The 23,517-nt window shown below is 37.0% G+C and overlaps 1 protein-coding gene across 3 annotated transcripts in view; it reads left to right on the forward strand.

Moving 5' to 3' along the window:
• B3GALT1 (beta-1,3-galactosyltransferase 1) overlaps positions 1 to 23,517 on the forward strand; it is a 581,045-nt gene that overhangs the window by 173,101 nt on the left and 384,427 nt on the right. The window contains exon 1 of one of the 3 annotated variants that reach the window (XM_047446159.1): positions 932 to 23,517. This exon is cut by the window's right edge and continues 659 nt beyond it. The exons of the other annotated variants lie outside the window; for them this stretch is intronic. The gene's annotated coding sequence lies outside the window, so the exon portion shown is untranslated. Of the gene's footprint in view, positions 1 to 931 lie in introns of those variants that run through there. 3 annotated transcript variants of the gene reach the window in all.

The following is a 23,517-nucleotide window of genomic DNA, read 5'->3' on the forward strand; positions in this document are numbered from 1 at the left end:
TATAGTTGGACTGAAATATTTCAATGAATTCTTCTTAAGGAAATGTTAATAATGGCCTAGCTTCATTGATGTGTCCTGGGAGCCATTTTTGTTTTTGTTTTATCCTGAAAAGACATAAGATGCTAAGATAATATCAAAAGAAACAATACATTTGATAATCAGATTTGGAGCTATTCAGTATACATTAAGAAATTTTCATGTTATTTACGAATATTTCAAGAAAGATGGTCTTGAGGCCGGGCGCGGTGGCTCACACCTGTAATCCTAGCACTTTGGGAGGCTGAGGAGGGTGGATCACCTGAGGTCAGGAGTTCAAGACCAGCCTGGTCAACATGGTGAAACCCTGTCTCTACTAAAAATACAAAAAACTTAGCCAGGCATGGTGGCACATGCCTGCAATCCCAGCTACTTGGGAGGCTGAGGCAGGAGAATTGCTTGAACCTGGGAGGAGGAGGTAGCAGTGAGCTAAGATCCCGCCACTGCACTCCAGCCTGGGTGACAGAGCAAGACTCTGTCAAAAAAAAAAAAAAAAAAAGGATGGTCTTGAAAATAAAAGCTGTTAACTTGTTCTCAGTAAGCTGTCTACCTTGTTTATATAATTTTTAACTATTATCACTCTTTTGTTTTTGGAGACAGAGTCTTGCTCTTTTGCCCAGGCTGGAGTGCAGTGGTGTGATCTTGGCTCACTGCAACTTCTGCCTCACGGGTTCAAGCAATTCTCCTGCCTCAGCCTCCCAAGTAGCTGGGACTACAGGCGCCCGCCACCACGCCTGGCTAATTTTTTTTTTTTTTTTTTTTTGTATTTTAGTAGAGAATTGGGTTTCACCATGTTGCCCAGGTGGTCTCAAACTCCTGAGCTCAGGCAATCTGCCTGCCTCAGCCTCCCAGGGTGCTGGGATTACAGGTGTGAGCCACAACTCCTGGCCTATCACATTCATTTATAATAAAAAATGATACAACTGTGTTGTAGCAGTAGGCCTCCGGATGGATGCAAATTTGTCTACAATTTTTTTTTTTAGTCAACGTAATCACCAGCAGGGTAGGAGACATTCACATTCTGGAGCTGACGGGAAGGGATATTAAGAAAAAGAGCCAAGCCGACTGACCCACTCAGGACCTCATTAATACTAGACATCTTTATCTGTGTTTAACTATAATTTATTCTCCAGAGAAAAAGTGAGAAGAAAACCCAAGTATTCTTTTGGGTTATTACTTCATGTAGGGCCTCCCTCGAGCATTATTTTTAACTCAAAAATAGATTTTTGGCAACCATGTTGTTATAATAATAATAGAGCAAACAGTAAAAAACAAAAATGTCACATCAAGATTTTTAGAAGAAGGCTGCCTTATTACTTTGAGTTACTCCTACGTGTTTGTAATCCTTATATTATAAACTGTTGGCTGCTGATTTTTTGTTTTGTCCTGTCAGCCAGAGTCTGACATGATGACATATGACTGGCAGAGTTGTGTTCCTTGTAGAGCAGGGGAGCAGAAGGCCATTCCGTGGTTAAGACAATGAGGAGATTAACAAATTGGCTTTTAAATCAAAATGCCATTTTGTGTAGAATTTGTATTTTGTTTGTCAAAAATACTTGTTTTCCATTCCTAGGAAAAAATCAATCAATCAAGCAAATTAATTCAACACACCCTTTATGAGCTTGATACAACCTACAAACATAGATACAACCTAGAGTACATAGTGTGAGATTAATGTATTCATTGATTCATTTATTCATTCATTCATTCAAAAATATATATTAAATATCTAGCGTGTGCCAGACACTGTTTATGACATTGGGGTAAAGCAAAGACCATACGTTGTAGTCCAGTAGAGGAAAGTAGATAATAAGCAACCAAAAATATACATATATAATATGTTAGTTGGTGATAGTGCTTGAAAGAAGTAAAAAGTTTAGTAAGGGGGTGGAAAAGGATGGGTAGTGATGCCACTTATTGTTCAGTAGGAGTCTCCAAGGGCCATGAAACAGTGAAAGAGCATATTTTTCTGGAGTGATACCAATTTTGGAAAAATTCTATGGACTACTAATGTGCACTATCTGAAGGACTGTAATCTTATAGAAAAGGATCTTATGACTCAGGTCTATGATAAACAATTTTTCAAAGTAAATTACTTTTGAGAGTGGGCTATAAAATGGTTTTAAAATCAAATCTAATCAGTGTTGGACAGGGACACTATAAGAAAAGATAAATACATAATACTCTTTCTCGTAACATAAATATAAAAAATCTTACAAAATAGAACATAATGATCAAGTTGGGTTTATTCCAATCATGGAAGATTAAAAAGCAATATAACTTACCACATTTACAAAATAAAAGAAGAAATGAATGTTTTTCTAAGTAAATACAGAAAAGAAATTTGAATTTAACATTTTCGATAATTTAAAAACACTCAAACTTGTAATAAAAATGAATTTTTCCAACTTGACAAAGTGTGTCTGACATCATATTTAATTATGAAATACTTGGCCAGGCGCGGTGGCTCACACCTCTAATCCCAGCACTTTGGGAGGCTGAGGAGGGCAGATCACCTGAGGTCAGGCGTTCAAGACCAGCCTGACTAACATGGTGAAGCCCCATCTGTACTAAGAATACAAAAATTAGCCGGGCATTGTGGCACATGCCTGAGTCCCAGCTACTTGACAGGCTGAGGCAGTAGAATAGCTTGAACCTGGGAGGCGGAGGTTGCAGTGAGCCGAGATTGTGCCACTGCACTCCAGCCTGCACAACAGAATGAGACTCCATCTCAAATAATAATAATCATCATAATGAAATACTTAAAACTTACTCCATAAAATCAGGCATAAGGCAAGAATACCATTGTAGCCACTTATATCCAATATTGTACTGGACCATGTATTTACTGAATAAAATAAAAGGACACAAATATCAAGGGATTAGAAAAATAACATGGTTGTGTATGAAGGTGCAAGGACCTCCTGTGACGCTATTCCTGAATAGTCTGAAACACTCATTCTACAATAACAGAATTGTAGCAATCAAATATGTAAGGTGAGCTATGTAGTGGTATTCTGAGAAGCAGCATGGTGTGGTGGTTAAAATTATGGACTCTGGAGCCAGGCTGCTAGAGTGTAAAAACCCTATGCCACCTCTTGCTAGCTAAGTAGCTTTGGGAATCTTACTTATTAATCTGTGCCTCAGTTTCTCATCTGTGAAATGGGAATAACATTATCTGCTTTATGGGATTATTATGAGGATTAAATAAATGAATGCTTGTAAAACACTTAGAATAGTGCCTGACACATAAGTGGTATGCATTCATTTAGTAAATAATGACTTGGAAAAACAAAATTTGGACTATGAAATTTTGAAATTTTAAGTTGAAAATTAAAATGGTTTTATTCACTTATATTGTCTGTCCAAATAATCAGTATCACATGGTTACACTTAAGTAGTACATGTTAACAAATGTGCCCATGGTAAGAATACATTCTAAATCTTAATAAAATGCATCTTAAATCACTAGTAATAGTACTGAAAATGTGACCTACCAAATACTTATGATTGTAAAGTAAAAGTTAAAACTAGTATTATATAAACAACTTTGATAATATACTGTTGAATGATAATTGTCATCCTGGAAACATGAAACTACACTGGAAAGCGGTTTCTAATTATCATTCATGTCTTTAGGTATAACATGTGATTTAATTAATACATACAATCATTACAAAATCATGACAGATAAGAAAAAACTATGGTCAGCATTAAAAAGTGACTAGCCTATTATGTCAGATGTTATGCAGATTGTCAGATATTATGTTTACTTATTAATAGCAAATTGTATAAATTTTTTAGGACCTGAAAGACTGTCTTTCCCACAATGTTGATTCTCAAGAATGGAATCGTAATTTTTTTTCTTGAACACTCATTTTGTCTCCATTCAATAATAAACTCTCATCACAATATCCTTCCTCTGAATCCTCATCCTGATATATATCTGTGAGTTCTAGTACCAAGGGCTCAGCAGTGCATCTCACCAGCTTCAAACCCCATGTCTCTATTTGATTTCTGCTATACCCATAGGGTGTGTGTTTGATGCCATTAATTTAATAATATCAAGAAGGTCCACTAAGTTCACTGGCATAAGCATTCCCAAGAATGGTCCCAGTAATCATTTTCTACTGTCAGATCATTCCAGAAAACACTAAAAATCTGTTAACTCATTTTCCTGGGTTTAGCAATTAAAATTTAAGTAGAAATAGTAGTTTTTATATTTTAGTCTTCCTTTTCTTGAATTAGGAAATAGATTTTAGTCTTGGCATTCTAACTTTAAATTTTAAATAATACAAAACATATTGTAATCCAGTGCAATTTATTGGAATACTGTAAAGAATTGGATTTTAAATAATAGTGTATGGAGTGCTGTGAGGTTATTTTAATAATTATATGGTAGTCCTGTATGTTTTTTTCAAAATGTTGATGTCTAGATTATATTTAGAAACAGAAGGATCTTTCCTGAAGCAGAAGGAGGGCCTGGGACTCATGGTTATGATTTGAGATTGTCCCACCCCCATAATCTCCACTGCTCACTGCATAGTATGCTCATGATCCATTCACTCTGTTTAAAATGTTACAATATTAGTTAAGATTGGGTTCATCTTTTAGTTTTACTTTGAGAGATATAGCAAACCAGTTTCTGAGAGCTGATTTCTATTTAAAGAACTGTGCAAAGCACTGAGGAAATGTAAAATTAAAAATAAAATATACACCTACTTTTCCACATACCTTGATCAATTTCATATAGCTATTATAGGGGCACATTCAGAGCTGCTGCTCTAAGGATTCCTTATTCCACAAAGAAAACAGTTTCCGTGGGTTTTGGCAGCCTAATATTTTGTTATGCTTTATACAGGTAGGAAGGAGACTAGGCTGATTGAAGAGATTCATTATAATATAGTTTCAGCTCCTTCATCCTGTCTGATGGGGAAAAGTGAAGAAGAATCTGCTAAAAATAGATAAGCAGAATGCTGGATCAACAAAATAAGGAGACCTTTTCTTCTTTAGGTTTGTTTCCTAAAAAGGCCTGTGGGAACTCTTATTTCTAAACAAGACCCGTGAATTAATTAGCAGATAGTAAAAATACGTGCATTTCAAAAATAAAAATCGACACTTGATTCATTTGTACCACATAAAAAGAGCTAAGACTTGGTGGGAAGAAGCATTCTTACACGCAAGCTATCCTTTCACAGGCAGAACAGTTTTATCCTTTCAAAGTTAGCTGAAAAGGAAAAAAAAATCTATATACCAAACCCCATCTTCTAAATTACCCCCATTGAAAATGAAAGATGGGTTTTGGAGTTGAAGATTTCAGAGAGCAGATGTAGAAACTGAGATTTTGGCAGCTTCTATCAGAAACTAATGAGCTTTGGGGAAACCCAGCTGATGCAGAGTTTGGTAGATTACTATAAAAGCTACAGGGTGTCTAACACCTGTAGTGAACCAGCTTCAAGATGGAACATGGAAACTGACCAGAGGTAGCCTTTCCAAATTACTTATAAGATTATTCAACAGTATAAAAAAAATGAAAACACTGCCTAATGTAATATTATTCAATATATCTAAACTTTACCTTCCTATTAATAAATACACCACATATGCATATTCCTTTAAAGTAGGAGTGATGATACCTTAAATTCTTGGTGGGTGGCTTACATGGTCCATTAGTCACCATAATACTATGGCTGGGCTTTTTTTAGTGGTTGCTACCTAAGACAATCAGTGGATAATACAATGGCTCTCAGTGAGAGGCCTGGGGCCTTTGGCCAGGTGGTAGGAGAGCAGAGGGATAGTGTGAAACACTGTAGTAGAAGAAAGTGCTGGCAGACCACAAAAGCTCACATTTCTTATACTCTGTAGTAAGGAACTTCCTTTCTGTGGCTGGTTCCTCTTACAGTTTTGCAGTTTACTTTCTTGCCATGAATGGTAATATACTAAGCAGCTAATTTCAGTGTGTTCATCCTAAATATAATTAGTACATGTTTGGCTCTTCAGGAATCTGCACATCTGACTGTAGGTTTTACAGGGATATACAAATTAGACAATCGTTATGTGTTGATGCTGGTAAGATGCCGTTATGGGACTTGAAGTCAATATTCATACACATGTATTTTTCAGTTGCTCAGTCCTGCTGTATCAATATGTGTGTTTGGAAGGGTATGAATAAAAGTGGAGGTGGGGGCTATTAACAAGAATGGACAGAAATACCTGTGCCAAAGATTGTGGCCCCCAAGTGTATTAGACCTTTCCAAACCATCTCAGCATCCTACCAACACCTTCCCAATTCATAGGTCTAATTCAGTGTTTCCCATAAACTCTAATCTCACTGTGGGCACTACCCCTTGAGTCCAGTGGATCCATCTTGGTAGCTCTTAGCCTGTAGAACCTCTAATTACTTACCATTAAATTTTAGCATAAAGTTCAAGTCTCTAATCACAACCTAAAATATTCTATACAAGTTCATCTCGTCTACCAAATTGTCACTGTTGTCTGGAAAACATTCAGGTATCCTTTCTCTTCTCTGAATGTTCCGTGCTCTTCCTTTGTCAGAGTCTTTGCCTCATCCTTTCCTCCGCTTGCTGTGCTCTTCCTCATTCTTCATTTTTGTAATTGAAGTATAGTCTTTATTTGGCAGTATCTAAGGAGCAGAGCTGTCAGATGTTAAGTGAAACATGGTGAAAAATGGCAACTGCAGTGATATCAGTATTTCCATTTGTTTGGATTTCTTTATGACAAATTATCATATACATGTGGGAGAAGTCTAAACGTCCTTCTGATTTTTTTGTGAAAAAGTGAAGGAATGTTAAGTCATTTTCCATGTGGCACATTAAAGCTGCCAAAAACAAATCTAGCCTGAATTTGGGTACTTAATTATATAATTAAGAAATCTGTATCGGGCACATTTTGTATTCAGAAATCTGCAGTGATTTCCACTTAGGACCTTAACAGTGTGTTTGCAGAGATTAGTGATTCCCAAGTTCAAATCTTGTGAACTCATCTCTTAATCCATAAATACTTATTGGACAACTACTACATGTAAGTCTTTCTAAAAGTGAGCATGTCAAATTTCTAGTTATCGTGTAAACATGTCCTGAGAGAATAGAAGCATTAGAATCAACCTGGGAAGATATTTTACTCTCTTACAAGGGTTACTTAAGAATGTATAGTGTGCCCATCACTGTGCTAGGCAACAAACTTTGTTGTTCCTTGAGAATTAAGAGTTCCTGATCTCAGAAAGGTCACTTTCTGGCAGAAAAAGTCTTAAAATTTAATTTCAGTGTATTCTCATAAATACAATAAAGTAAACATGTTAACGATACAAAATAATTAATGGTGAGAGAGGTGACAGTGGATCATTAGGAAGGTTTTCCTGAAGTGCCTGAGTTTTGAAAAAAGAAATAACTCATATTATCATCATAGAGTGTTCCCAGACTCCCCCTGCCACCTGGAGCCAAGGTTCTTTTCTTAGTTTCTTTCTCTCCATTGCCTTGCTAGAAAGGGGCTGCCTTTGGCTGATCAGTTTTTTGATTATCACAATCAAGAGATGGAAGAAGGTGACCACATGAGTGAACCAAGGCTGGGAAAGGAGTTTGGGGTTAATTTAGGAGGACAAATAGGGGATGCTATTGTCTATCAGAAGAATAAACAGGAGAGAAAGGTACAGACTTTAAAAAGTGTAGCTCTTCTACATGATGTATCACATTTATTGCTTCAAGAACTTAAATGTCGTAGAGTAGCGTAGAGACACGTGAAGTAATAAATGTTCCACCCATTATTTTCAGATCTGGGAGTGAACCATATGGGACACAGAAGGGTAAGTGGATATTTACTGGGAAGATGAAAGTGACATCCAACCAGAGAAATCAGAATGGCAGAGGCATAAATACATGAAATAGCATGGGCTTTTAAGCTGACTCTAAGAAAGTTAGTATTGACAGCTGTACAGAGGGAAGGGAAATGTAATGGCATGGACATGTCAGTAGATGCAGCTGTGTCTATAGGATACGCCATCTTAATATGGATAATTTCTAATCAGTCTAATGGTTCATAATTTTAACAGCTGTTTGACTGACTCTTAGCATAAATTGCCACACTACCAGCTAATTGACTTGACGTCTGGTGACAGAGTCTTAATTGCTTGTAAAGAAATGATGATTGGATATTAGGCTGAATTGATCCATTTAGCACATTTACAATCTTTTGGTATTGTCATCTATCCTTTCCCTTGTGTTTTACCTTCTATCTCTTTCACAAATAAAGTGTAGCAAAATGGTATTGATATTAACATCACTTCATTCCTGTGAAACGGGTTGTATTGTCTCTGGTCTGTATTGTTACTGTCTTATCTCCAGAGGTAGATTCAAGGTAATATTAGTCAAGACTAAGCTTCAGGACCTATCACTTCCCTTGGGCTCATTTCACGTGGATCTAAATTTTGACATATAATCGTATCTTTTTTCTTAAACAGGAACCCCAAAGTTGTATAAGATTCAGGCCCTATAAAACCTGATTCTACTCCTGCAGTTATCTCTGACACCAAAGGTGCATCGCAAGGTGAAATAGTTGTCAACAGTATTTTAATAAGTCCTTGAAGCCACATTCTAGTTTCTTATTATTATCATTTGGTAGACTCCTAAAATTTGATGTGATTTTTGACCCAGATGTTAAAATGTAAATTATTCAAGGTGTAGTTTGCTCTCCAAAGGGAGTACGTAAATGTGATTATAAAGTGATTCTAAAAATTCTGTATTGCCAATTCAGATATAATTACTGGGTGATTGAAGACTTTGTCTCCTCATAATAATAAATAAATATACCTGCTATGCATTGTAAATATTAAATCAGATTTTATACATCTTTCTACTAAACAACTTTATTAGTTCACTAGGGCTGTCATAAGAAAGTGCAGTAGATACCCCTCTATTAGCAATTTTGCTTTCTGCAATTTCAATTACCTATGGTCAGCTGCAGTCCAAAAATATTAAATAGTAAATTTCGGAAATCAAGTTCTAAGTTTTAGATTGCACATCATTCTGAGTAACATGATGAAATTTCATGCCATCCTTCCCTGTCCCATCTGGTACCTGAACCCTCTCTTTGTCCAGCATATCCACACTGGAGACACTCCCCACCCCTAAGTCGCTTAGTAGCCCTCTCCATTATCAGTTCCACTCTCAAGGTATCACTGTGCTTGTGTTCAAGTAACATTTATTTTACTTAATAATGGCACAAAAGTATAAAACTAGTGATGCTGGCACTTCAGATATACCAAAGAGAAGCCATAAAGTACTTCCTTTAAAGGTGAAAGTTTTTGACCTAAGAGAAGAAATTTTTTTTTTTGCTAAAATCTACAGTAAAAAGAAACCTTCTATTAGTGAAATTGTGAAGAAGGAAAAAGAAATTTTTGCTAGTTTTGCTGTCGAACTTCAACTACAAAAGATACAGCCACAGTGCCTGATAAGCACTTGGTTAAGATGGAAAAGGCATTAAGTGTGTGAGTGGAAGACATGACCAGAAATGTCTTCTGATTAAGATCTACTGGGGGTCTTGGAATGTATTCCCCACAGATAAGGGGGTACTACCATACCACATACTGGCGGGCTCAAACAGTAGAAATTAATTGTTTTACGGTTCTGGGGTCTGAAAGTTTGCGATCTAAGTAAAGGCAGGGTGGGTTCCTTCTGAAGGCCATGAGGGAGAATATGTTCCAGGCCTCTCTCCCAGCTTCTGGTGGTTTGCCTGCAACTTTTGTTGTTCCTTAGCAGCAGCAGCAGCCAAGGCAACAAATCTCTGCCTTTATTGTCACAAGGCATTCTTTCTGTGTGCATGTCTGTGTCCACATTTCTTCTTTTTACAAAGACACCAGTCATATTGGATTAGGGGCCCACCCTACTCCAGAATGACCTCATCTTAACACAACTAATTCTATCTGCAACGACCCTATTTCCAATTAGTTCACACTCTGAGGTCTTCAGGGTCAGGACTTCAACCTATGAATTTAGGGGGGCAGTATATACAATTCAACCCATAACAACAATTCATGATAGTAAATGGTTCAGAAAGAACACTGTCAACATTCATTAATTGGTTTGCTTCTGCTGTAGACAGTGCTTAGCATTCAAAAAAGCAGCTCTAGGTATTTATCTTCAGTAGTCACAGGCAGATTTGGGACAGCTAAAAGTATTGAGCATTTGTTTAATGTCAGTAGACATGAATATAAGCGTTTATTATTTTTATGGTCTGGAGTTTAGAAAATATCATATTTGCCCACTGGGTTGCAGCCTCAAGTCACATTTCAATTCTGGGGCCTGCAGCAGAAAACTTTTAAAAAGCAGCTGATGTTGAAAGATATAAATTATGATCCTTCTTGTCCTATTACACCTTCACAGCTTCTTGGTTTTTCCTTTCAAGGGGGGATACTGTGGACAGTTTTGGAATTCTGTCGAATATTCAGGGTATCTGTGTCTTAATAAAACATCCTGTATTGAATCTGTACTCACCCATTAAAAACAAACTATAGATACTTCATTAGAAATAGAATTTGAAAATTCCATCCTCTACACCTCTCACTGAGATAATGGCTTCCTTAAATTTTTGAGCAAAGTTGAACAATTCATTTCATCATCTATAATTTATTCTTAATTTTAACTAATGAAATGGAATCATTAAGAAGGAAATTAAGGGGGAGACAGCAAAGAAGAAAAAGAAGAAAGGGGGATCACCAAATGTGAAGAAAAGAGAAAATACTTTTTTTCTGAATTTTCAGAAAGCCTCTCTTAAATAAGTATTGAAGTTCCGTAAATAATTCTGTCTGCAGAGGATAAAAGGAGCAGATTGACCAATTACTTTCAAAGTGTTTGATCATATCCATGTTTTCATCAATTATTCAAGCTTTAGGAGTCATCAAAGAATCCTAATGCGTAACTCAAAATGAGGAGCAAAAGCTAAGATATTGGCAAATGCTTTTCATGTTTCAAATTCCTCCCACTTATAAGCATATGTGCTTTTGAATGTTGGGCAGATTTAAATCTTTGTGCGTGGGAAGGAGGTTGACAAGTTAGCCTTTTGGACAAAAGGGAAGAAGGACATAAAGATGTTAAAAAGCCACGTTGGCAAGTAGAGCTGGAGGTACAGGATGAAATGACACCCTTGGGGTAATGTGACCCAATCTCAGGTTATATTCCATTATGCCACACCCTGTGCCTGGCTACACATTTGCCACTCCAGGCCATGCAGTGATTCACCATATAGAATAGTCAGACCTGAGTCTTTGAACAAAAACTAGCTGCCAAGAACAGTTTAAGAATCATAAGAAGAATAAAATTAGGTGATTAGACAGAAGAAAGAGGAAGGATGATACAGTACGATCCTATAATAATGCAAAAGTAAGTTCCAAAGAAACGTTTCTACTAAGTCTGAAATATATTACTTAGTTTTATCCGGATTGTAAGTTACCAGACCATTTTATGGGCGCTATAATGTCACTAGAAGTGCATGTCTAACAAAATAATAGAGTACATTACCAATTCTGCTGTGATGGCTACTGCAGAGAAACTATTAGACCCATTTGTCAATGTACCTTGGTGTCTAACAATTTTAAAGAATGAGTAGTTGTGGAAACTGTTCAACATTTTAAAGACATCATTTCTCCTCAGACACATTCCATTGAATCATCAATTTTGGGTACATCTATTTGTCCACCCATGCTTTTCCTGTAAAGCTGATTGAAAAGAAAACAACAAAAACACATTTTGAATGGCAGAATAGAAAATACTAACGATGTATGAATTTGAAAGGTCTATTTATTGTTTCAAACAAGATTGATATTTTGTTATATTTTGGGTATTGTGCAAGTTGGCACAAAACATTAAAATAGAATATATACAAAGTAGATCTTCAAAATATGAAAATCTGCTTTGCAATGAAATAAATTTGAGGTTGGAGATAGCAGTATTCGTGCCATTATAAAGAATTTCTTTAGAGTGGATACATTTAGCAGGCATTTTCAAAGCATAGCTTTAGGAACAGTTTATAGTAATAGATTAATGCAAAGGAGTTTGCTTTACCTGCTCTCCCTTCAACCTTCATTCACTGATCTTGTGTTCCCAATCCTTTATAATCCTAAACACCAACCCACTTCACCTTCCAACTATTTTAACAATTATTAAATGGGTGAGTTAATAAGAGGAAAGAAGAGAGCATGGCGATTTATTCCAAAAGAAAGAACTCCTTGTTTGCTCTGTGCCCTTGAGGAAGTCAGTTCCGTCAATCATTAGATAGGGGGCTGGACTCGGTAATCCATGAAGTCCCTCCCAGATCTACTGTGTTAAGATGCTAAGTGAGGACACTAAAATCAAGGCTTATAAAAAAACAAAAGCAAATGGCAGTGTGAAACCAACTTTCTTTTTTTTTTAGGGTTATTATAGTTTTTTTTTAAATTATACTTTAAGTTCTAGGGTACATGTGCACAACGTGCAGGTTTGTTACATATGTATACATGTGCCATGTTGGTGTGCTGCACCCATTAACTCGTCATTTACATTAGGTATATCTCCTAATGCTATTCGTCCCTCCTCCCCCCACCCCATGATAGGCCCCGGTGTGTGATGTTCCCCACCCTGTGTCCAAGTGTTCTAATTTGTTCAATTCCCACCTTTGAGTGAGAACATGTGGTGTTTGGTTTTTTGTCCTTGTGATAGTTTGCTGAGAATGATGGTTGTGTGAAACCAGCTTTCTAAATTTTCTTCAAATATTTGAAAACAACTTTTCAGATATAAGCTTCAGCATTGTAATATTTTGGATTGTATGCTACTTGGGAGGCTGGGGCAGGAGAATGGTGTGATCCCGGGAGGCGAAGCTTTCAGTGATCCTAGGTCGCGCCACTGCACTCCAGCCTGGGCAACAGAGTGAGACTTCGGCTCAAAAATAAATAAATAAGTAAATAAATAAATAATAAATAAATAAAAGAAATGCTGTTTACTAGTTTTGGGACATGGAGTAGATCACTTCACCTTTATAAACCAAAATTCCCCACTGTGTAAAACAAGAATATTGATATTAGTGTATAGGTAGTTGAAGATTAAATGAGGTGGTACAGGCAAAGGTTTAGTTCCAACAAAATGTTCAGTAATATTAGCATTTATTATTTTTATCTAGATGTGTATTGGCAATAATTAATGTATTCAGTTACTAATTCAAAAATATGCATGTATATTTTAGATCAAGCATTGCATTAAATGCTAGGGACCCCACAGAACAATCTCTTCTCCTCCCTGTTAGTTACTATTTGATTATTTAAGAGTGAACTGATATATGTTTGTGGGAGAGCATATATTTTGAATGTATTAGCTTTTGTTTTAAAACTCTGTATGACTGAGATGGAAATGTAACAAGATTCAAGTGAGTAAAACATAACTTTCATATTTCTGCTAGTAAGCACAATTCAACTCTGGTCTTCCTTTTATTGGTAGCAGAAAATTCAGTCTTGCAATTTGAGGTAACTTGGCTACCTCCTATCTCAAAGTGATCCTCTTTGGGTTCAATTCAGGATATCCCACCACTGTAATCACCCAATGGGTTTTTCTTGCCTGCTGCACAGACAAAACCAGTTCACCGAGACCGTGGTATTGTAATAAAGAAAGAGTTTAAGTAATGCGATGCTAGCCACGTGGTAGAATCACTTAAATCAGTCAAAAGGCTCAGAGGGTTAGAGGCTTTCAAATAGTTTTGTGGGCAGAAGACTACAGAATAGGTGCTGCTTATTAGCTGGGGAACCAATTTTCCACATCATAGGGATGTGGAAAATGGCCCTCATGCGCTGAGTCTGCCTCTGGCTGGGGCCACAGGATGATTGTGGATTGTGTCTGGATGGGGTCAGTCAGTTGCCGGAATGTGAAAGTCTGTAAAACATCTGGAAAGCGCAATCTTGGGTTCTACAGTCATGATGTTAACTATAGGAGCAGTTGATGAAGCTATAAATCTTGTGACCCCTGGCTACATGACTCTTGAGCAGTAAGGGATTATAGAAACCATGCCTACATTTTAGCAGACTTCATGCCCCTCCCACCTAATCTTGTAGCCTTCCATTAGTCTTACAAAGGCAGTTTCAGCCCCCAGAGAGGGATCAGTTTTAGGGAGGGACTATTACCATCTTTGCTTCAAAGTTAAAGGATAAACTAAACTCCTCCCATGCCTAGCCAGCCCCACACCCAGGAATGAGCGAAGCCAGCAGCCTGCGAGGCTAGAAGCAAAATGGAGTCAGCCATGCTCAATTTCTCCCACTGTCGTAACCTCTGCAAAGGAGGTTTCACAGCTAGGGCTGCCCACTCTGCAGCTTTGTGCAGCTGTGGACTCCCATGACATCAAGCTAGAGTGACTCTTTAGGCTTGCTGATTGTCAACCCTTAACTCTGTTTTGTTCCTTAGCCATGGTGTTGAGAACTTGTGAGTGCTAAAAAAACAAAAAACAAACAAACAAACGAAACCACCACAGGTGGGGCGGGGACTATCTTAGGCCTTCTCTTTACCCAGAGCTGCCTTGCTGACATTTCCACCTATTGCAGCTTAGTTTGTTGAAGGCAATCAGCAAGGTTATTTTCTTCTCAAGTTTCAGAGTTCACTGGGAGTGAGTCCCCAGTACAAGAGTGACTAAATATTTTGGGAAGTTTCTATCACCCAACTGGCCAGAGTTTCAACCCCAGAGCAGGTTCAGGGAAGACGGCAACCCATACTGTCTACACTCCTTTTGTTTCACTTTCCCTATCTCTCCTCTTCAGTGCTGTAGAAAAACTGCTCATATGGCATCACTTATCTTTTCCACCTTCACTGTGGCCTTGAACCCTTTGCTCCCAGTCCTATAAGATTTGGTTCTTGATATTTAAATCCAAGCTTTTGGAACTTTTTTTCTCTCCAGCAGCTGGTACTTGCAATTCAAAACCATGGTTTTAAAGACGATTGTCTGCACTGTTGACTTACAAGGGTCAAATTAGTTGCTCAAAGGCCAAAAATGTGCATCTTTGTTCTCTCTGAATCAACCTTACCCTGAGGCATAAAGTCCTTTTTGCTGCTTATATATGGTAAAAAAAACATAACTAAAATAAATTGAAAAATTCTTCACTTAGTTTAATATCAAAATACCCCGCTACAGAACAAACCCACAGTGGAATAAAATGATAGTTGTCCTGTATATTTATCTAAGTTTGCCTGTATATTTATCTAAGTTTAGCTTATCTCCATAAGCTAAAATAAAAACAAAACAATAAATGTTTTAATTATATACCTCTGTAGTCTAACTTAAATAATGTTCCTCCGTTAAAACAAAATTAATGCTAAAATGTTTTTGCTATAATAGAGCTGCACATGCTGTCACTAAATTTGCTTTTCCAAAATGTTTCAACACGGCCATGCTGTCTTGGTACAATCTTAGCTATAAACATGATTCATTTATATATTGAATGCCTATGTGCCAGGCACTAGGTGTAAGCAACTGAGAAAGAATGATGGTCATGTCCCTAATTTCCTAAATGCTGAGAATTCCTCTCTGACCAAATGAACATCATTTTTCAAACAGTAACAGCCTCCCAAAGCTTGCCTTTCCAGGAAGTTCACAGCCAAACCTGGAATCTTCACCTGTTCTGTATGGTGGTAGAGTTAATTGTGTATTTTGTATTTCTTTCTCCACCACTGGAGAGAGCACTCTGTTACATGCCCAAAAGAGTTATTTCAGGATGCACAATTTTAAGGCAGAGTTAAAAAGTTAAAGGCAGAGTTTAAAATCCTTTTTTTGAAGGCAGAGATTAAAAGTCTCTTTTAAGTGAATAGTATACAGAAAAACAATGTATTTCTTTTTTTTTAGAAAACAATTAAAACATATTTCCAACCTAACAGCTGTTATTTTCCCAAGATACAGTTAGCTGTAGAAGGGTAGGAAATGATTCTGTAAGTTTAAACAGCACAAATTTTGTGTCGTTCCTTTCCTCCTGCCTTCTTGCTTTCAAATGGATGCAGCATAAAGACATCTCTCCTCACAGTTCTTGGTTAATAAAATAATCTCATAGTCTGACTCTAATATTACTAAACTCAAATGAATAATATATCAAAATCTGAAGAGATGAATCATATTTTTTGGCTACACGGGGGCTTTCAAATCTCCATTATGTCTAGGTTTTTAAAACAAAAACATTTATTTTGAGCTTTCTTTATTCTTATAGTACATGATCTGATGGGAAGTAAGTATGAATTAAAGATGATCATGAGATTAAAATAAATTAACTCTTTCAGGACACCAGAGTTTTATAACTTAGACACTACATTTTCACAAATGCGAAATTTGAAATATACATTGTTCACCTCCTCCAGGCCATTGTTTCTCAAACTTCTACAATATATACCGTGTCTTTAAGACAAAAACAAAAACTAGTACAAAAATCTTCTCTTCGAACCCCAGTGTTAAATCATTTTTATTACATTGTTACTTAAAAATATGCAAACAAAACCAAGCATAAACCTGACCAACACAGTGAAACCCTGACTCTACTAAAAATAAAAAAATTAGCCGGGCATGGTGGCAGGTGCCTGTAATCCCAACTGCTAGGGAGGCTGAGGCAGGAGAATCACTTGAACCCAGGAGGCAGAGGTTGCAGTGAGCTGAGATGGCGCCACTGCACTCCAGCCTGGGCAACAGAGCCAGACCCTGTCTCAAAAAAGAAAGCCAAGCATAAACACTCTGTGCTTATATCTCTCACAAAACATAATTATAACGCAGTGTGCTGTATTATGATAATTCTAATATTTTTTGGAGCCTCTGCACAGTATCGTTGTTTGCCTTTTGCTATCTCTGTTCTTTTCTCATTAAAATTTCTTGAGGCCAGTGGCCAGGCGGGGTGGCTCACTCCTGTAATCCCAGCACTTTGGGAGGTGGAGGCAGGCAGATCACCTGAGGATGGGAGTTCGAGACCAGCCTGACCAACATGGAGAAACCCCCTCTCTACTAAAAATACAAAATTAGCTGGGCGTGGTGACGCATGCCTGTAATCCCAGCTACTCGGAAGGCTGAGGCAGGAGAATCACTTGAACCTGGGAGATGGAGGTTGTGGTGAGCTGAGATCGCGCCATTGCACTCCAGCCTGGGCAACGAGAGCAAAACTCCATCTCAAAACAACAACAACAAAAACAACAAAAACTTCTTGAGGCCAAAACAATAGTATCTACAAACATAAACACTGGGTTCATATGGCAGTACTTGGCTAAATTATTATGGGAAATCAAAACACAAATAAGAATATTCAAAGATAATTTTCCAAAGGGACAAATTCAAATATAAAAAACTATCAAAATGTTATTTAACTCAGTTATTAACAAGGAAACCAGTAAAATGTTAACTGGTTTAATATAGAATTCAAATTAATACACATATATGGTTGAGTCAGGAATGTTGAAATGAATCTACAAATAGATGAAAAACTGGCTTTTTCCCCTAGGTTGCAGTGGAGAGAAAGATCAGTTGTTCCTCCACCAAAAGGAATTTACATGTCTTTGGATAAGTATTATTTTAATTGCTACCATTTATATATAATTTATAGCCTTGTAAAATAGCTCAATCAGCCCTCCATAGAATCAGATAACTTGAAACTATATGTTAAATATATGTTAAATAATGCCTGCTTTTCCAATGAAGATACCTGGTGTTCTTTTGGTTCATTATTTGGCTCATAATTTGTTCATTCAGTATATTTAAGAGGAATGTACAGACCCTATAGAACCTATCCATGGATCGCATGGAAATTCCAAAACCCTCTGTCTCTATTGCACACAACAAGCATCTTCAATGGAGCTATCTCCGTTAAGAACTGACCTCTAGCCACATATAGAAGCTCCATATGAGCCCTATTGTCTTTAAGGAATATATGGCTCTTACTTCAGATATAAACATAAGCAACCTCTTTTAATAAGTTGGATGACCTCTTCTGAGGGAATAACTATGACAACTAATCTCACATCTTTATATGTGAAAATTTTCGCCTAAGGATAGATAATTACAATGATAAGCCAAGCCTTCAGTAAAAATGTATTGAGTTTTGTTCTTTCTTTTTTTGGGAGGGAGTGGAGTGGAGAGCAATTACTATACCAGGTACTGTACTAAGTACTTTATGTCAACAAAAAAAAAGTCAAACTCTATAAAGTATTTAAAAAGGTTTATTTTGAGCCAAATACGAGTGGCTAAGGCCCAAGACAGTCTCAAGAAGTACTGAGAACGTGTGCCCAAGGTGGTTGGATTACAACTTGATTTTACACATTCTAGTGGGACAGAACTTACAGGCAGGCGTCAATCAATACTATGAGTTATACATTGTTTGAATCCATAAAAGTGGGACAACTAGAAGCAGGGTCTTCTAGGTCGTAGGTGGATTTGAAGATTTTCTGATTGGCAATTTGTTGAAAGAGTTAAGTTATTATCTGAAGACCTGGAATCAATAGAAAGGAGTGTCTAGGTTAAGAAGAGATTGTGGAGACCAAGGTTCTATTATGTAGATGAAGTCTCATAAGTGGCTACCCTTAGAGGCAATAGGTGGCAAATGTTTCCTATTCAGATCTTTAAAAGGTGCTTAACTCTCAGCTAATCTCTTCAGGCTCAGAAAAAGAACTAGAAAGGGAAGGGGATTCTCTACAGAATGTACACTTCCCTCACAAGAGACAACTTTGCCGTGGCCATTTCAAAATATGTCCAAGAAATATATTTCAGGGTAAAATAATTTCTTTCAGGGCCTGCAGTCTGTCATGTGATGCTAGACTAGAGTGAGTTAGAATTCGGTATCTTACAGCTGTAAAGATACTTTTACATTTTGTCATTCTTAAGATCTCTGTTTCAGTGCTAATGCTGGTCAGTTGTGCCTGAATTCCAAAGGGAAGAGAGTATAGTAAGGCATGTCCAACCCCCACTTCCCATCATGGCCTGAACAAGTTTTTCAGGTTTACTTTGGAATCCTCTTGGCCAAGAGGAGGGATCCATTCAGTTAGATGGAGGGCTTAGAAATTTATTTTTGGTTTACATGCATATATATTTTTTCATTAAATATCAAAATATAATGCTATTAATGTGTACATTTTATGGGTGAGAAAATTCTGCCTGAACCACCCACATGGCAAGTTTTGAAAAAAAGATTATTTGAATGAAAAACAGGACAAAACCAAGTGTGTCCTGTTTGTGTAAGCATTTGATGAGGTCTTCTGTAACTAACAATCAGGATAGTATCTTAATTAGATTAGATGGAACAACTGGTTTGCTATCCCAAAGTCAGATGTTCAGTCAATATTTATGGAACGTGTCCTAGTCATTCTCACTTCATCTGGGAAATTGAGTGTCCAGGCTACATATTTCATAGTGCTATGTATACAGTTGTCATAGCACTTGACAAATGGCATTAAGTTATCTTGTATGTGTTTATGTCTCCTTTGACTTCAATGGCTAAGCTACGAAGTTAATTTAGAGGAATGGCCGTGTGTCCTTAGTACTTTGCATGAAGACTGCCACATCCTAGGAGCTAAATATATGCTTTTGAATTAATCTAAACTATGCATATGCATTAAAGATAAGCCGTAAATTTGAACCTCTGGAAAAATTTACTCCCAAGTCACTAGTTCCAAAGATTTCACTTCTGTTTTCAAAATGTTCAGTGCCATTAGTTAGATTTTAGTGTCAATAGATGCATTAAGTTATAGCTGCTTAAAATTTACTCTCAGGACACAGAGGAAAGGCTTGTCTTAGCATTAGATACAAGCCCTGCAGACTGAAGGTCGTGATATCTTTGGGCGTTACTGGAGAAGAAAGCCATGGCCATGAAAAACCATTAGAAATTATCTAGAATTCTGTACCACAATTATGTATCTAATGGATTGAAATTTGAGAAAGTCTTAAGTGCAAATATTTATGAGATTCTTCAGGCTGGACGTGGTGGCTCACACCTGTAATCTCAGCACTTTGGAGGCCAAGGCAGGTGGATCACAAGGTCAAGAGATCAAGACCATCCTGGCCAACATGGTGAAACCCCAACTCTACTAAAAATACAAAAATTAGCTGGGTGTGGTGGCGCATGCCTGTAGTCCCAGCTACTCAGGAGGCTGAGGCAGGAGAATTGCTGGAACCCAGGAGGCAGAAGTTGCAGTTAGCCGAGATCGTGCCACTGCACTCCAGCCTTGTGACAGAGTGAGACTCTGTCTCAAAAAAAAAAAAAAGAAAAGAAAAGAAAAGATGCTTTATATCTCACAAACTAAATACCACATTTCCTTTAAAGTACCGTATTTAGGCCGGGCACAGTGGCTCATGCCTGCCCAGCGCTTTGGGAGGCTGAGGCAGGCAGATCACTAGGTCAAGAGATCGAGACCATCCTGGCCAACATGGTGAAACCACGTCTCTACTAAAAATACAAAAACTAGCTGGGTGTTGTGGCGCACGCCTGTAGTCCCAGCTACTCAGGAGGCTGAGGCAGGAGAATCACTTGAAGCCGGGAGGCGAAGGTTGCAGTGAGCCGAGATCACACCACTGCACTCCAGCCTGGTGAAAGAGTGAGAACAAATTAAAAAAATTTAAAACAAGTACCATATTTATGAGAAAGTAAATATGAAAGAATGACGAGGAAATACAGAGAACTGATACTCACACTGGCCAAAAGAAAGAATAGAAAGCAAAAATATTGAAGTGGGATTGGGAGAGTAGAAATTGGAGAAGAAGGAAAAATCACACAAGAATGTTGGGAAAATGTTCTGTTATGTTAACTCCTTTAATTATCAACCATTTGGCTGTAGAATAAAAAATAAAACATGAGATTTAAAAATGTTTATATTTTTGTTAAAATATGTACTTTAAAAAAATATTAAATATGTGAAATGTATACAAACAGGAACTATAATTCCTCATCAGTAATAAAAGATTTCTTTTGAATTTATCACTAACCAGAGTGAGAAAGTAAAGAAACTGTCCTTGTAGAGTTAGGATTCAAATCTGACCATGTTTTCTGAGGGTGTAAAGTGGCTCATCTATTTGAATTAGTTGTTTCAAGTCCCACTTACTTTGTTCAGAAGGCCACTTTTTGTCCTGCCAGTAGACTGTAGCCCAAACCCTAAATTGTCTGGTCAGAGACTGGGAAGGTAATGTTGTGCGTGTTTTGCTGATTAAATATAAAACATTCAACATCCTTTATGGCCTCTGTTTAAAGTAAGCTTCTCATTCCAAAGCGTATTTTTGAACTACCCACTGTTATTGGCATGTTTCCTCTTAGAGTATTCTTTAACAGATATTGGTTTCCTTCTAGACAGTTTCACAAAATAACAATAGGTTAGCCTTCCTTAGAAGGCTTAAAAATCCAATAACTCTTTATATGGTTCATATTTTATTTATTTTTCTCATGTTAATAGTATTCTTTTATCTGTTTAATCTTATGACTCCTCTCATTTTGGAGAGATTTTGAACAAATTGGTTGGGAAACCAAAAAAGAAACAAGAGGATTTTTTAATACTAGTTAGGCTATAAAATATTTTCATATGCTTTAAAAATGGGATTGCCCACAGAAGGACTTCATTTTAAAGTGTGAGTTTGGTAGTAGTGAGGGGGATATATGTATCTGAAAGCATTTTATATTGGAAAACGGGTCTATTTGTGGTTATACTTTGTTTGTATATCAAATACTGCACCTGTCACAAGCTTGGATTTATCGTGAGTATGCATAATGCTTGCTTTTGGGAAAGCCTGCAAATCCCCCATTGGCAGCAGAATGACCAGAAGTAGATGCACCTGTCTTCCCAGCTGGGACTTGCTCATGGAAAAGAAGGTCATTTAACACCATGTTATTCCTGTGGACAGCTGTATATGTAAAATGCCTTAGGACATAGACGACCTAAATTCTGTTAAAAAAAAGGTCTTCAATGGCCAAATGAAATTTGACTTTGAAAAGTATTTTAATGTTTTGATTCATTAGATTTGGAGCATATATAGGGTTGGTTTAATAGAAAAACATTATTTGTTTTGCTTTGGTCTAAGCACTCTATCAGCTTTTAATGACTCAGCAAACACCAATATTTTCAGCACACATTGGCTTAGGGTTTAGTATAAAGTAGTTCATTCTGTTTTGATGCAACTCTTGGTTAAAATATAGGCCTTCTCCCAATGCTACAGTGATAATTCTTTGTTTTTGTCTACTTTAATTGTCTGTTTTCCCCCAACAGACTCTAATGTCTGTGAGAATAAGGGCTGTGTCTATTTTGCTAACCATTATTTTTTCTAGCACACTGCCATTGTATTAATTCTGGGTATATGTGTGCTTAGTAAATCTTTCTCAAGTGGATAAATGAATGAAGGAATAAAGAACTGGTTTTCACTGTACAGTTCATCTTAAAGACTGTCACTCAAAATCATACCAAAACTTGAGAAGCCTCGGTCCTATTGTTTGTCTGTTTGTTTTTTAATGTAAGTACAAGTTGAGTTACAATAAAGTATACAGATTTTAAGGTCACAGTTCCATGAATTTTGTCAAGTATATACACCCATGTAACCATTATCCAATCAAGATAGAGAATTTTTTCATTATTCCAGAAAGTTCCCTCTTGCTACATTTCTGTCAATTCCTCACAGCCACTGTTCTGATGATCATTATAGCTTATTTTTGCCTTTTCTAGAACTTCATATAAATGTAACTATATAGTATGCACTTTTTTGTGTCAGGCTTGTTTCATGCAACTTTAAGATTTTTCGATTTATCCATAGATGTTTAATTGAATTCTTGGGAATCAAGAACTTAGCCATGTTAAAAATAAGATTAATAATGAAGGACTATGATATTACAAAAAAAAAAAAATACTTTGTGTCTCCTTGGAGGATTTATTGATGACATTTTCCCCAATCTACAACTATGTGCTTTTAAGAATTCTAAAAATATACAGAATGATTGTTAGAAGTAGAGTTCAGAGGTGCCATCAAACTAACGTCATTGTACTATGAACTTCCATAGGCAGATCATTTGATAAGCCAAGCAGATCAAGAGGGGCACATTTTAGAGCAGGTAACTCAGCCTGGGCTTTCTGACTTCTCCAGTGTTATACATCACTACACCATTGGCGTCCTTTTTCCAGAACACACTTCTGTAGATAATGACCTATGCATAACAGTTTGTAAAGGTTAAGGAAAGGCTCCAAAATCAGGTATTCCACTGAAAGTCTTCTTTAAAATAGATTTTTCAGTAACAGATAACTGGGGTGTAGAGGTGTTTGGGTTGAATTGCAACAAGGTTTACAAAGAAACAGTCAGTTTGCAGGCAGTGGAAAGAAGCTTGCCAAGTAAAGCCTGTAGAAAATGGCTTCATTGAATTAGAACAGTCTGTGATCAACTGCCAAAGCCAGCTTATTTTCCTTGCGAGTTCCAGAAAAGAATGCCTGAGACTTTGTGTTGTTGGAAGGCTATCTTATAGAACATGCTGGCAGAACACACTTT

Source organism: Homo sapiens, chromosome 2 (genome assembly GCF_000001405.40).
Source record: "Homo sapiens chromosome 2, GRCh38.p14 Primary Assembly".
NCBI classification, from domain to species: Eukaryota; Metazoa; Chordata; class Mammalia; order Primates; family Hominidae; genus Homo; species Homo sapiens.